The sequence below is a fragment of the Homo sapiens genome, chromosome 1, assembly GCF_000001405.40.
Source record: "Homo sapiens chromosome 1, GRCh38.p14 Primary Assembly".
Lineage (NCBI taxonomy): Eukaryota > Metazoa > Chordata > Mammalia > Primates > Hominidae > Homo > Homo sapiens.
Window position 1 is genome coordinate 50,293,924 of NC_000001.11, and position 14,683 is coordinate 50,308,606.

Consider the following 14,683-nt stretch of genomic DNA (forward strand, 5'->3'; position numbering starts at 1 on the left):
AATTCTGGCTCCACCATTGGGTAACCTTGGGGAAGTTATGTAACCTCTCTTTGTCTCAGTTTTCTCATCTGTAAAATGGGATCTTATAGAACCTATCTCATAAATGGTTGTGAAGATTAAACAAGTTAATACATGTAAAATGCTTGGGAATTTTGGGGCATCTCATCAGCACTCAATAAGTGTTGCCTATTTTAGATCATCTTCACCATCTACTATGATATACTATAGAAAACCATTTGTAGACACTTTGACTCTTATACAAATATCTGGCAACCTACAGAGAATAATTAGAACAAGAGAACTTAAATTGGGGAAAGAGGGGATAAAAGGGGTATCAACTGGGATCAGCAGGGTTAAAGAACCAGGTATATGTTGGAATGTTGAAACGGAACTCAGGGCAAAGTGCTGGCTAAGACAGAAGGAGTTGCCTCTCCCTCTTTCTCTTCCTCTCCCCACCTCCCTCCCACACTCCCTCCCACCTTTCTTTCAATTGTTGTAAAAATAAAATGGGATGATAATGCATGATAGAGACTGGCTAGCTCTTTACCAAACCCATGTCCTCTTCTCCTGGGCACATGGCTAGACTACACTTTCCAGTCTTCCTGTCATTAGGATTAGCCATACATCTGCATCCCGAACAATGGAATCTGAGCGTAAGTGATGTATGCTACTTCCTGACCTGGCACATAAAAAAAAACTTCCATGCTCTTTCCCCTTCTGCCACTGGGTGTAGATTTAGAGCATGCCTCTAGAGCCACATGTTGAACTTGAAGAGCCACAGTATATAAAGAGCCTGGTCTGACTCACCTCTTGAAGGAGAGCTTCCCATCAGTCAAAACACCCATTCTGGGCTTTATCAGAGAAAGAAATAAACTTCTATAGTGGTTGAAACATATGCTTTCATGGACTTATTTGTTATAGCAGCTAATGACAACCTAACTAATGCTACTGCTTGCAAAAAGTTTAACGCTGTGCCTGGAACATAGTGAGCACTTAGTTTATAGTAGCCAAGAATTCAGGAGATCAGAAACCCCAACAATGCTGCAGATTATAAGATATCAAAACTTGCATTGGTTTCAGAAAACAAGCCTTTTGCACCCTCTCTTCTAAACTCACAAAAGCATAGAGGAGCCTCTTTGGGTCTCTGTGAAACAGACTTAATGAATCCATCCAAAAGAGTGACCCCGAGGCATAAAGAAAATAATTATAATAACTATCATTTAAGCAAAATATGGTTGTGCATTAGGCATTTAACTATTGACTTTATCTGTATTACCTTACTTATTCCTCCTAAGTATACTAATAATTCCCATTTTACAGGTAATGAAACAGAGGGTCAGAGGTTAATGCCCAAGTCACATAAATAGTAAGTAGGCAGCCAAGCAAGGACTTGAACTCAGGTCTGATTGATTATACAGCCAAACTCCTTAAACCACTCCCCTTCCCTGGGTGAGGAGAGGCCCTCCAGGGCCCATCTTGGCTGACTGGCTCCACACCTGGATCCTCAGCCAACAGGGAAGGGAAGTTGACCTTGGAGTCACAAGGGACAATAAGTTGAGACTCAGTGTAAGAGATTTTGGGTCTGTCTGACTTAACCCAGCTCTCCAGGCTTAGCTCCCTCTTCAGCCTCTGCGACCCAGCCAAGCTGCAGCTAGACCCAGTATTGGTGCAGCATGTAAAAAGCTGGAAAAAAAAAATAGGGGAAAATAGGTTACCAGTAGGGAAGAGGAAACTTGTCATCCCACTCCCTTCCACCCCACACTGACTACCAGGAAGCAGTTAGACATTGGGCCCTGGCTTTCCCTGCCAAGGTCACCTTCATGACAGTTCCACCAGGGCTTCAGCTGGCAGCACCCGCCAACGCCAGGCCATGATGGATTACTGCTCGCTCTGGCTACTGTTCACTGCACAATCCAATCTAGGAGACACACATATTTCTCAATTCAGGGACTTCTTTTATTTTATGAAAAAATCAGCCAGCTGCTCAGGCACGAGTAGCTGGGCTTGGCGAGTGCTGTGGATTTTGTGAGTCTCCTCCAGCCCTGTTGCCTTCCTGAACTGCTCTTCCTTCTGTCCTATCCATTACCCACTCTCAGCCCCATAGAGTGTGGAAAAAAGAGCCCAGGCTTTGGAGCCAATTAGTCCTGGGTTCGAGCCCCACGTCTACCACTTACTCTCTGGGGGATTTTGCACAAGTTGCTCTCTGTGCAACTTTCCCTGAGCCTCAGTTTCCTCGTGTGTACTGTGATGGTGATGCTACCCACACTCCAGAATTATTAAAAGGCATAAATGAGTCATGAGTGTGGTGTCCTGGCACAGCAAAGAGCATACCTGCAACTACTACACATAGGAACCTATTCAGTTTCCTCTTCTCCATCTCTATTCTTAATCAATTTCTCATTTTCTCTGTCCTCTGCTCTTCCTCCCTCTTCCTCTTCTCTCATCTCTGCTCCTCTGTAGGTCATATCAACTTTAAAACTTCCAGAGAATGTCCCAGACTGCTCTGTCCTAAAAATCAGAGCAATTACTACCACAAGCCCCTTGAACTAAGCTTCTTCTTTATGCTCTGGATTTGTACGAACAACTACGGTCTATCTTGTGTTATGATTAGAATATAATCCTTATGACTTGGAGAGTGGTTCTGAAACTGTGTTACTGACTTCTGGAAAGGCTGATTCCAACCCTTAAATCTCTTGTCACCACCCTTCCAAATTCTAGTAAACCATTGTTCTCAGTTCTTCGCCTGCTTTCTATATTTCTGATTTTATTGAGGTACCCCTACCAGCTCAAAGACAGAGGAAAGCATTCTCTGTGGGAAGTGATCAGGGGATTATCTTTATGAAACTGAGCAAAAGAAAAAAAATAGGCTGGGAGTGGTGGCTCACGCCTGTAATCCCAGCACTTTGGGAGGCCGAGGCGGGCAGATCATGAGGTCAGGAGATCGAAACCATCCTGGCTAACACAGTGAAACTCCATCTCTACTAAAAATACAAAAAAATTAGCCGGGCATGGTGGCAGGTGCCTGTAGTTCCAGCTACTCAGGAGGCTGAGGCAGGAGAATGGTGTCAACCCGGGAGGCGGAGCTTGCAGTGAGCCGAGATCACACCACTGCACTCCAGCCTGGGTGACAGGGCGAGACTCCATCTCAAAAAAAAAAAAAATAGTAGCCTGATCTGGCCCAGGAGTCCAAGCTCCCCACCACTTCATGAATAATTTGAGTCATCTTGTTAATAAACGTTTAAATGGAAAGAAAAGCAAGGAGATGAGTTAGACTGAAAAATCAAAGCTGGCCAGGTGCAGTGGCTCGCGCCTGTAATCCCAACACTTTGGGAGGTCGAAGCAGGCGGATCACTTGAGGTCAGGGGTTCGATATCAGCCTGGCTAAAACTGGCAAAACACCATCTCTACTAAAAATACAAAAATTAGCCGGGCACGATGGCTCATGCCTGTAATCCCAGCTACTCGGGAGGCTGAGGCAGGAGAATCACTTGAACCCAGGAGGCAGAGGTTGCAGTGAGCTATGATCACACCATTGCCCTCCAGCCAGGGCAATAGAGCTAGACTCTGTCTCAAAAAAAAAAAAAAAAAAAAAAAAACCACACACACACACACACACACACACACACACAAAATAAAATAGTAAAATAAAATAAAAATAAAAGCCAAATTAGTGCTTTAAATGAAGATGAAAATTGAGCACAATCTTAGAAGACATCTCTATGTCTCCTTTTGCTAGTGCCAGCTTGAGGGTTAGACGAGGTTGTTCCTTCAAGTCAAAGGAGACCAGAGACCCTGGATCAGAGACAGCCCCACTCTGAGTACCGGCACCAACAGCCAGAATAGAGCTGGAGGCCTTGGGGTGCCTGAATTGCCGGCCGCCATGTCAACATCAGAACACAACACCAGAACATCTTCCCAAACATCCTTGACTTCCCCGCCTTCCCCACTCAGACACTCAACCATTCTCCAAGCCCTCTCAAATACCTAGCAAGTCCATCCTCTTCTCTCCATCCCATTTCCTCTGTCTTATTCCAGGCCCCATGACCTCTCACCTGAGTCACTGCACTAGCCTCCTCCCTGATCTTTCAGCCCTTGCCCCATCCCAATCCTCTCTCTGCACAGCAACAAAGTGATCTTTCAAAAATACCAAACTGACTATGTCTCTCTTCTCTGTGGAACCGTCAAAGGCCTGCCACTGTTCTCAGGCTAATCTAACTTCTTAGGCCAGAAAACTTCTGTGAAGGGCCACAAAGTAATTATTTTAGGCTTTGCAGGCAAATGGACTCTGTTGTAACTACTCAAGTGTGCCATTGTAGCAAAAGTGGCTATAAACGGTAAATAAATACATGAACATAGCTGTGTTTCAATAAAATTCAACTTACAAAAACATGCAGTGAGCCAGATTCAGCCAGCAAGCCATCATTTGCCAACCTCTGTGACTTAAGCCAACCCATGATGCCCTGGGTGACTTAGCCACTGCCTCACAGAGGCTATCCTCACCAATCACCATGCTTAATTTTTTCTTTACAATCACAAAGTATGACTCAGTTCCTCCAAACAGGCTGTGTTTTGTCAAACCCCCATCAAAACTCTTTCTTTTCCCTCTCTCTCTCTCTCTCTCTCTCTCTTTTTTCTTTTCTTTTTTTTTTTTAGAGACGGTGTCTTGCTCTGCCACCTAGGCTGGAGTGCAGTGGTGCAAATGTGACTCACTGCAGCCTCAACCTCCTGGGCTCAAGCGATCCTCCTGCCTCAGCCCCGTAAGTAGCTGGGACTACAGATGTGCACCACCACGCCCGGCTAATTTTTGTAGAGATGGGGTTTCGCCATGTTGCCCAGGCTGATCTCCAACTCCTGAGCTCAGGCATTCCACCAGCCTAGGGCTCCCAAAGTGCTAGGATTGCAGGTGTGAGCCACTGCACCCAACCCAAACCTCTTTCCATGCTGTTCCTTTTGCCCATGGCTTTGTCTCAGTAGTTCTTACTCATCTTAGATGACTCAGCTCAGTCTTTGAAGGGAAATTTGGTAATGTCCATCAAAATTTGAAACACATATGCCCTCTGTTTCCTCAGCAATTCAACTTCTAGGAATTTGTCCCACAGACAAATTCAAACAAGTGCTTAAAATTGTACCTGTGAGAATGTTTGTTGCAGTACTGTTTGGAGTGCTAAAGAAAATTGAAACAACTTAAATGTTGATCAGTTGGGGAGTGATTACATTGTGGCACACACATGTCATGAATATTATACTGCTATTTAAAATAATGTAGTAAAAAATAGAGTAGATCCAGATGTTCTGATCAGAAATGATTTCCAAGATTATTAAGAAAGCAGGATGCAAAAGATTGTATGTGACATTCCATTTGTGTAAAAAAAAAAAGGATACACACATACACATAAATGTTTGATATGTATAGGACATCTGAAATGATACACAAGAAATGTGACAGTGGTCTTACTCCTGAGGAATGGAACTGCAATTGAATGGTTGAGTCAGGGCTGCCAGGTATTGTGGTAAAGCTTGTGCACTGTGCAAGCCCACTTGGAGCCACATATCTAGACCATAATGGCAACAGTGTCCCCTGGAACTGTGCAACATAGCAGAAGCTCTGATTTTAGAGAAGGGAAACTTTTCATTACCTGCTTTGATAATACTATTTGAATTTTTACCACACCGAAGTGTGGAGCCTAAGAGTGAGCCCTAGATTTGAAGACTGCAACATAGCTATTTGTCAGCCTGCCAGACTGTGAATCCTTTGAAGGCAAAAAGCCTATCTTATTCACAGCACAGTGTAAGTCATGCCATCAAAGAAAGGTGTAAAAGATACAAAGAGAGCACAGGTTAGCCTGATTTGGAACTGGATCTTGCCAGATAGAAAAGCAGGGAAGGGCACTTAAGCCAAAGGGAAGAGCAAATGCAAAGGCATAGATAGAAGAAAGAAGCTGCACAGTCAGGAGATGTTCGGAGTGATACAGATAAATAGCTTTTGCATATGTGCAAGTGGGTATTTGATTTAACAAACAGTCACCAGAACCTACCATGTGCCAGAAAGCACATTAGACAAGTCATGACAGTCTGTGATTCCAGGGTTCCTAGGAAGGGAAAGAAGATGAGAATAAGCTCAGATTCCCTTAGGATAAGACAAACTTTACTGGCATGCTGGAGGTCAGAGGCAAGAGACAACTTCTAACAGGGGCTGTAACAGAAAGCTTCTTGGGGAAGCTGGCATATGACACGGTGCACGAAGGATGAGGAAGATTTCACCAGGCAGAGATGGAACAGGGTAGTACAGGGGTGGGCAACACCTTAAGCAAAGGAAGGGAAATAAGAGAGCCCAGGACACGTTCAGAGAGCTGAAGGACAGAGCCACATGAGAGGAAGGCTGTAGAGAAAATAGGCGAGGTTGGTTTGTAGCTGGAAAGAGCTTTGAACATGAGGCCAAGGATACTGGCCGGTTTCCATGCCTCTGGTAGAGTCTGGGTTTCCAGCTGACATTCTCGGAAGCTAAGGGTCATTATCCAGGACATTAAGTGGCTAATGGGCCCACCCCAGTACCCTGTGCAGCCTGGAGCACAAATGTTTTCCAAAAGCCATTTTTATCTCCTGGCAACAGTGAGGCCAAGCCTTCTGAGCTACAAGCCTGGTACTTGTTGTGGTTCACTCTCCTCTCTACTGCTCATGGCCTAAAGCCCTAAGAACCGTCTCCTCCTCATCACCCCAGCCCAGCCCCAACCCAGCTCAGCCCTTCTCCAGAAACAAAGCCAAGCCCACACCTGCTATCTCTGACCTCATTTCTTCCCCACTAATTGATCAGAATACAATAATAGCAGGCATCAGGAGGACTAGTCCCTGATGGACCCAGGGCTCAGGAGAGAGCCTCAATTACTAATCCTGCACCAGCTACTAGAGCCAACAGCTCTCCTGGGTGCCCAGAAGGGTTGCCTGGTATTGGATGGGGGTGATGTCAGAGTGGAGATGGTGGCTGAATAAGATGCAGCAGCTCATCTGGAGCCATGGGACAACAGGATCTGGTGCCTTGCCCTGAGTAGAGAGACCTGCTGGCCATCCTTGGTGATGCTGAGGGACAAGGCCATTTGGAAGGCCCTGAGGACACTCTTCCCTGGCCTTTCTGCCATAGGTGACTGAGGCCTCCCCTTCTCAAACAGGCCCCCTGCATAGAAACAGAGGGAGAAGAATAACAGAGGCCTTTTCCAGCCATCTCAACTAGGTCCAAGCCTAGCACCATGCAAGTTTTCTCTCCGTGACTCTAAGGGACCTACACCTGGGCGTACAAATACAATTCTCCCACCTCTGCTTGCCCTAGCTGTACCTAACCTCCATGGCTAACCTAACACAAGACTCGCCTCCTCCAAGAAGTCCTTGACTGATTCTACCCTCCCTGACTCATATCTTTCTAAATTGTTTTTATGCTGAGCCACTCCACGGAGTCCACAGAATTATTGCCGGTTTTGCAGTGTTCTTTTATGGCTGTGAGCAGCTGCTGTATTCTTATAAACTTTTTAAGGACAGGGCTCTTCTCCTTGCTTGTGGGAAAAGAGAAAAGGCACAGAACTGGGAGTATACAGGAATAGGTTTCAAGCCTGATCTCTGCCACTAACAAGGTGTGTGACCTCAGAGAAGTCACCCAACCCCTATGAGCCTCAGATTCTTAATCTGCAAAATGGAGAACATAATAATTCCAGCCTCCCCAGACACGTTGAGAAGGGCCAGTGGGGCTGTGCTGCCCCCACCTCTTTACCAAGAAGCTCCACCTCTCACTAGGCCTGCTATCCCCACTCCCCACAAACACTCTGCGCTCTCCATAAGACTTTTACTTGTTTAATTAAAAATGATATAAAACAACGTATGTATTGATGATTTATTGCACTCACCAGGCTGCTGATATCACTTAAGGGGCATGTTCTAAACAGAACAGGTTCCATGCTCAACAAAGAAATACATAATAACAATACCTCTTAAAGTGAAATTCCCTGGCAGATAGGCCAGGAGCCAGGCATGACCCCGGGATACTTTTAGAACTTACTGCTCTTGCAAGAAGGGACTGAGAATTCTGGGAGCCAAGACAGCCATGTAGAAGTAGACCAGGTCTTGGAATCATCAAATATTAGCTGGTTCAAATCCTACCTCTTCTTTGAAAGTGGTCAGTTTTCCTCTGAGCTTGGGTTTCATAATCTGGGGATAATCCTACCTCAAAGCATTGTTGCAACAATCTCTGTAAAATGCCTGGCATATAGTGGGTACTCAATAAACAGTAGCTATTTTTTTGCTGTTTTGGGGGGGGGTTGATCAGCTTTCTTGAGGATAATCCATATACCATAAAATTCACCAATTTTAAGTGTATAATTTGATGACTTTTAGCAAATGTATATAGTCATGTAGTCACCATCAAAATCATGATATTAACAATTCCATCATCCTAAAAGCTTTCCTTGTGCCCCTTCTCAAGCAATACCCACCCCCTGACTCATGGCCCCTAGCAGCCACCAATCTGATTTCTGTCCTTACAGTTTTCCTCTTCTAGAATTTCATATAAATGGAATAACGCATTCTGGAGTCTTTTTTACCTTTCTTCTTTCACTTAGCATAATACACCTGAGATTCATCCATGTGGTTAAATGTATCAGTAATTCATTCCTTTTTATTGATGAGTAGTTTTTCACTGTATGGGTATACCATAATTTGTTTATCCTTTTGACAGTTTGACGGACATTTGGGTTGTTTCTATATTTGGACTATTACGAATATCACTGCTATAAATATTGAGTATAAAGCTGTGATTATTAGTTATTTGGAATCACAGAAAATCAGAGCTGGACTGTTCCTCAGAGATCACCAAGTCTAGCACCTTCATATTGAAGATAAAGAAAATGAGCTCACAGGGGAAAGCTCATGGTTTAACTCCTTGCCACTGAAAGTGTAGCCCATGAATCAGCAGCATCAGCATCACCTGGGAGCTCATTAGAAATGCAAAATTCAAGACCCCACCCTGGACTTAGTGAATCAGAATCTGCATTTTAGCAAGATCCCCAGGTGTTGAATAGTCACATTCGAGTTTGAGAATCACTAGTCTAGCAGACAATAAATGAATTTGGGATTAAATAATAAGTCACCTGACTCCTGGCCCAGAGCTGCTGTCTTTGAATCACAGTGATTGGCAGTGAGTAGTGGGCAATTAGGGCCAACAGCCTCAGGTCCTGAAGAGCTCCTCTAATTTGAGAGGGTCTGCTGGTTTAGTGAAGGGCAGAGCTGCTGCTGCCTCATGGCCTCTTGGGGACATAGGGCCTCACAATGTCTGGGTCAGCTTAGGTCCCAGAGGTCCTAGGATCCTTAATTGAAAAATCATAATTATTTATTTAGATGACACTGCTGTTAGCATGCAGAATTAATGACAGCCATGTGGTCTAGGTTGAGGGAGGCAGAAATGGAGGGCAAAAGACTTCTGGGTGGGGATTTCAGAGCCCAGAGGTGCTCCATAAACTCACCTTCGTGGACACCCCTTAACCATGTTATGTTTATTAAACAGATACACAAAAGCATAAGCACACTTTCCCTTAAAGCTTAAATAATAGCTACGAATTGTTTCCAGTTTTAACAAATTATAAAATAGTTTGTTGTTCTCATTACAGGTTAAGCATCCAAATCCAAAAATACAAAATACAAAGTCCTCCAAAATCCGAAACTTTTTGAGTGCTAATGTGATGGACACTCATAGGAAATGCTCATTGGAGCTTTCTGGATTTGAGATGCTCAATTATAACTGCTAATATTCCAAAACCTGAAAAAATTTGAAATCCAAAACACTTCTGGTCCCAAGCATTTCAGATAAAGGATACTCAATATGTAATTGGTGATAATTTCAGGATGATGGGTTTATAAGTGAAAACAATATTGCTGTCATGAAATTTTCTTTTATTCTGTAATTGGCTGTTACAGTGTGTTTCTTAGCTAGGAAACAAATGTGATTCACCCCAAGATGGGCCAACCAGCCAACTCACCACCTAAGAGAGAGGGTATCTCTTTAAGGTGTCACTGATCTTTAGACACTTACTGGATGTCTATGATGTTCTGCCAATTGAAAGCAGGGGATAGGAAGACATGGAAGAGTACCTGCTCTCTGAGAGTTTATAGGCTAATGAAGGAGGGAACAAGATAAAGCTGAGACAAGATAAATAACCATACACAGCAACCTATCCATGACCAGAGAGTGGTACCAAGTGTCAGTACTTCTGTAGCTCAGAGACCAGAACACCTGTGACTAGACTGAGCAAGGCCTTTAAAAAAAAAAGAAAAAGAAAATGAGAGAATGCACCATAAAGGAAGAACAGCTTGAGAGGAGGTGTGGAGGTGGGAAATCTATATGCTGCAAACAGTCCTTGTATGGCTAGAGTGAGAAGTGGAAGATGACAATGGTGTGAGAGAGATCAATCTAGAGATGGAATTAGGAACATAATTATTAATTTATGTAAATAAATAATTATATGTTTATATAAATACAAAATCAGCAGTCAAATAATAACATGTAACCCCTATATAGCCCACACCAGGCTAAGAAGGCAGGACTTTGTCTTAAAAAAAACAGGGGTCATTGAAAAGTTTATACAGGGGCTTGATGTGGTCAGATTTATAACTTTATCTTGAGGAAATTATAGGCCCATAACGTATTAGATACAGAGAGAAGCAATTTGTGCACATGGAGTGTAGTCCACGGACACAATCACCTTATTGCTTGTTAGAAGCATAGATTCCTAGGGCCCACTTTGGGCTAAATTAATGAAAGTTTGGGAATATGCCTTAGTTTAATAACACTGATTTTAAGGCCCTTGTTTTTTACAAGGGGAAACTGAGGCTTAAAATGACAAATGAATTTCCCAAAGGCCATACAGCTGGTAAGTGGCAGAGCCAAAACTGCCTGATTCTAGATACCATCCCAGAGCTCTTCCTTCACCAGACTGATTGAAAGTGTGTTGTGTTTTGTTTTTTTTTTTAAAAAAAACACTTACATTATCCAGACGTTGTGCCCCTTAGACATATCCAATAGGACTATCCTACTCATAGCTTTTCCAGCAGGAAACATTCTAGTACTTTCTGCACACCCATCTCCACTAGCTGCCTTCCAACCTTAACTCCCACCCATGCCACTCAATACAGACCAGACAAGGCCGGTCCACGTCAGTCTTCTGAAGATCTTCCTATTACTGTATATAGAACACTAATGCCTCTCAGCATCTGCTGGACCCAGGTGATGGGTGTCACATGAGCAGATTAGGAGTAGAGAAGGGAGAAGTCAGTCTAATTGCATTTCATGTCACAGAACACCGAGATTTCATCGAGGGTCAAATTATGCAAAACAATTATGCCTTATCCCATGCAATCTTCCTTGATGTGTCCTGCCCTTCAGACTGAGACCCTTGGAACTCATTCTCACAGGTGGGCTAGGAGGAAAGGAGGCATGGAATCATACCTCCTGGTACAGGTGCCCCTGCTTTAAGTGAAGATCCAAAATACAAAATCAGGAGTCAAATAATAACATGCAGCCCCTATGTAGCACTCTGTGCTAGATGCTGTTCTAAGTGCTTTACATTTTTAGCCCTTGTAACAAACCCATGAGGTAATTACTATTATTACTCTCAGTTTACAAATGAGGAAATTAAGACCCAGAGAAGTTAAGTGACTGGCCTTGGGTCTTCAGGCTAGCGAGTAGTAGAGTTGACATTCAAACACAGGCAGTCTGGGTCCAGAGCCCACGCTCCTAACCACAGTGCAAAACCTACTGTTTGCCAAACCCTGTGATGGAAGCTGAATAAAAAGCTGAACCAGACCCAGCATTGAGGGAGCTCACAGTCTAAAGGAAGGACATAATAGTAGTCACCAACACAGACAATAACAACAGTGTAATCAGTGCTGGACAGAGAGAAGCCTAGGGCTCTCGAAGCCCAGAAAAGATTTTCCCAAACCCAACCCAGGGATCAGGAAGGCATCCTGAAAGGGGAGGTACCTGGGTTGCCCTTGAAGGATAATCAGCTGCCAATAATTGCTCCTCAGGAGGCAGGCATTAGTGTTTCCTGTGCCTGGGCCAGCTCTGGTCCTGATAATCCCTTCCCTTCCTAATTAGATCTGTTATTCACAACCAGATCCTGCTCCTAGTGAGAGAAAACTCAGCAAAGCCCTACTTCCTGGATTCTGAATATTCAGGTCCCATTGGAGGCTCCAGCTTAACAGTCTCCCAAATATCCATGACTACACTGTGGAAGAGTACTGCAGTAAACCTTCCAACTAAACACAATTCAATTATGTCCCCAGATCCCAAAATAGAATGATTCTCTTCCTCTCTCTTTTTTAGAATCTTTATGGAGAAAGGAGCACACACGGGACACTGGCTTAATCCAGCTACTGGAAGGTTTCAGCAAAGGAGAGACATAACAGGGAAGTGGACAATAGCCCCCTAGGTTCCTGCCTGAATTATGGGGAGGACAGCCCTTAACTGAGATTATGAACAAAGGATAGCATGTCTTGGCTAAGGCAGCCTGAGCAGCTGAAAACATGCCTAGGGAGTATGCCAGCTGTATTAGTCTTCCATCTGGAGTCCTTTGAACACATAACAAAGTACCTGTGGCTTGGTGTTTGTTTGCAGGGGCACCCCATGCAGAGATGGGCATCCTAACCCATCTCTGGGATTTTATCAAGCACTTCCAAGGCTAAGTACTGAATGGAGGAGAAGACCAGAACTGCCCCCATAGCAAGGGGGAAGTCCAAGAGAACATGACTTTGGCCTGTCTTCCAAACAGACTTGCATGAAGACAGAGTTCTGGGCACTAAGAAACTGAGGGTTGGCTGGAAAGAAATGGGGTAAAGTGACCAAGATTCAGCTTCTGGGCTTATCACTTTCTCAGAGTCTCAGTTTTCTCATCTGTGAGTTGAGGCTAATCATCTGTGATAAACTCATCCCTAGCTCACAGAACTGTTGAGGGAATTGGATAGGATAATGGCTGTGAATTCTCTTTGTAAATGGATTCAGGGTACAAATGTGGGTTTACAATAATAAAGTCCAGTTTTCTTTATGCTCAATCACTTATCCTCATTCAGGAATACAACTACACTTTTGTTTGTTTACACCTATCATTTTATCATCATGGGTATTTTTTTATTCTATACAATTTCTGTATGGTAGATAGGACAGGTATCTCCCATCCCATAGAAGAGAAATCAGGAGCCCAGAGACGTGACTCAAATATAACCCAGGACATTTTCTTCTGTATCAAGCTCTATATATAGGAGGAATAAAAACAATTAACATATATATTGCTTTATTAGTTTATAATTGACAAAACATTTTTCCTCAGATATTTCTTGATTATCCCTGCAACCCTGGAAAAAGGAAAAGTAATCCTTCATCTTATGGGACAACTGATAGTCCTAGAAGCAGGAGCAGCAAGTGCAACGCTACACAACCAGAAAGAGACGAAGCCAGAACTGAAACTCAGCCCTTCTAATTGCTTCTCTCCAGTGTTCCAGCTCAAGCCACTCCTAGGCAGAAATTCCTTCTGGTCAGTGGTTTCAGAAGTTGGGAAATGGATTTTAGCTTTTGGTTCCTGACCTGGACTAACTTTGATTAGTTGAAATGAAGTCTTTTGAACTTCAAATGCACTACTCTATAAATGGGTGCCCCTCCTTTGCAACTACTCTGAGTCCCACATAGACTCCATCATTGCCTGTGACACTTGAATGTACCTGCTTATTTCCATGTCCCACCTTCTACTAGCCTGAGAACCCTCTGAGAGCAGAGACACTATCTTACCCATCCTGTGGCCCCAGTGTCTACACACAAACGCCTGCCATAAATGACTTCATAGTATTATACAAGTCACTCATTTATTTAGATTTCTGTTTTCCTGTCTATAAAATGAAGGAGTAGTAGGAGGAGCAATCACTCTCTAAGGTTCTTCCAGCATTAAAGTTGTTGGATTTCTTGAGAATTATGTTTCCTCTACCTATCAAAATCTCACTCACCTTCCAGTGACAGGTCAGCTCCTACCTGCTCTCAGAGAACTTCTCTAAACCCCGACAGGTCTTTGGAGTGAAAGCAGTGACTATCTGAGCCATTCAACAGACTTTAACTCACACCACCTCATTCTATTACCTTTTTCCTGAGTACTTGTACCTTGTTTCCGCACATTAGATTGCGTCGCTTATTGCCACAACTCTATTGTAGCTTCAGAGCAGAAGCCATGCATTACCCTTCTATTTTACCTCCCTATGTGCTAATTTCAGCCTTGGGTTCATGAATGGGAATCAAGAGAGTTGGGTCCTACCCCTAGCTTCTTCGTTGACTCTCTATGTGACCTTGGACAAGCCACTAGACCCCTGACCCTCAGTTTCCTTTAGTGTAAAATGGGACTAACACAACCTGTCTCTAAGATTATTGTGAGAATCAATTTAAATAACAAGTAAAAGCACTTTGTTAATTATAATAATCTTACAAAGGATTGAGCAGTGTAATTGGTACTCTGGCATGGCTGTTATTGAGTACCAATTGCACTATGGTACTAAGGACTATGGAAGAATAAAAACAGCATGCATGTATTCATTTGTTCAAAAAAGCATTCCAAGCACTAAAATAGATTCCAGATGAAAATACAGGTGAACAAGACATGGCCCCTACCCTGAA

The 14,683-nt window shown here is 43.5% G+C and overlaps 1 long non-coding RNA gene across 6 annotated transcripts in view; it reads right to left on the reverse strand.

The window, feature by feature from the left end:
- Window positions 1-14,683, reverse strand: part of LINC02808 (long intergenic non-protein coding RNA 2808) — a 55,193-nt gene that overhangs the window by 27,992 nt on the left and 12,518 nt on the right. Inside the window, exons 2-3 of one of the 6 annotated variants that reach the window (XR_947319.3) lie at window positions 6,036-6,089; window positions 1,497-1,683 (exon numbers count right to left, since the gene is read on the reverse strand). The exons of 1 other annotated variant lie outside the window; for it this stretch is intronic. This is a non-coding gene — a long non-coding RNA (long intergenic non-protein coding RNA 2808). Of the gene's footprint in view, window positions 1-1,496; window positions 1,684-2,331; window positions 2,483-4,382; window positions 4,419-6,035; window positions 6,090-14,683 lie in introns of those variants that run through there. 4 more of the 6 variants (XR_947320.3, XR_947321.3, XR_947318.3 and 1 more) reach the window with 4 other exon arrangements.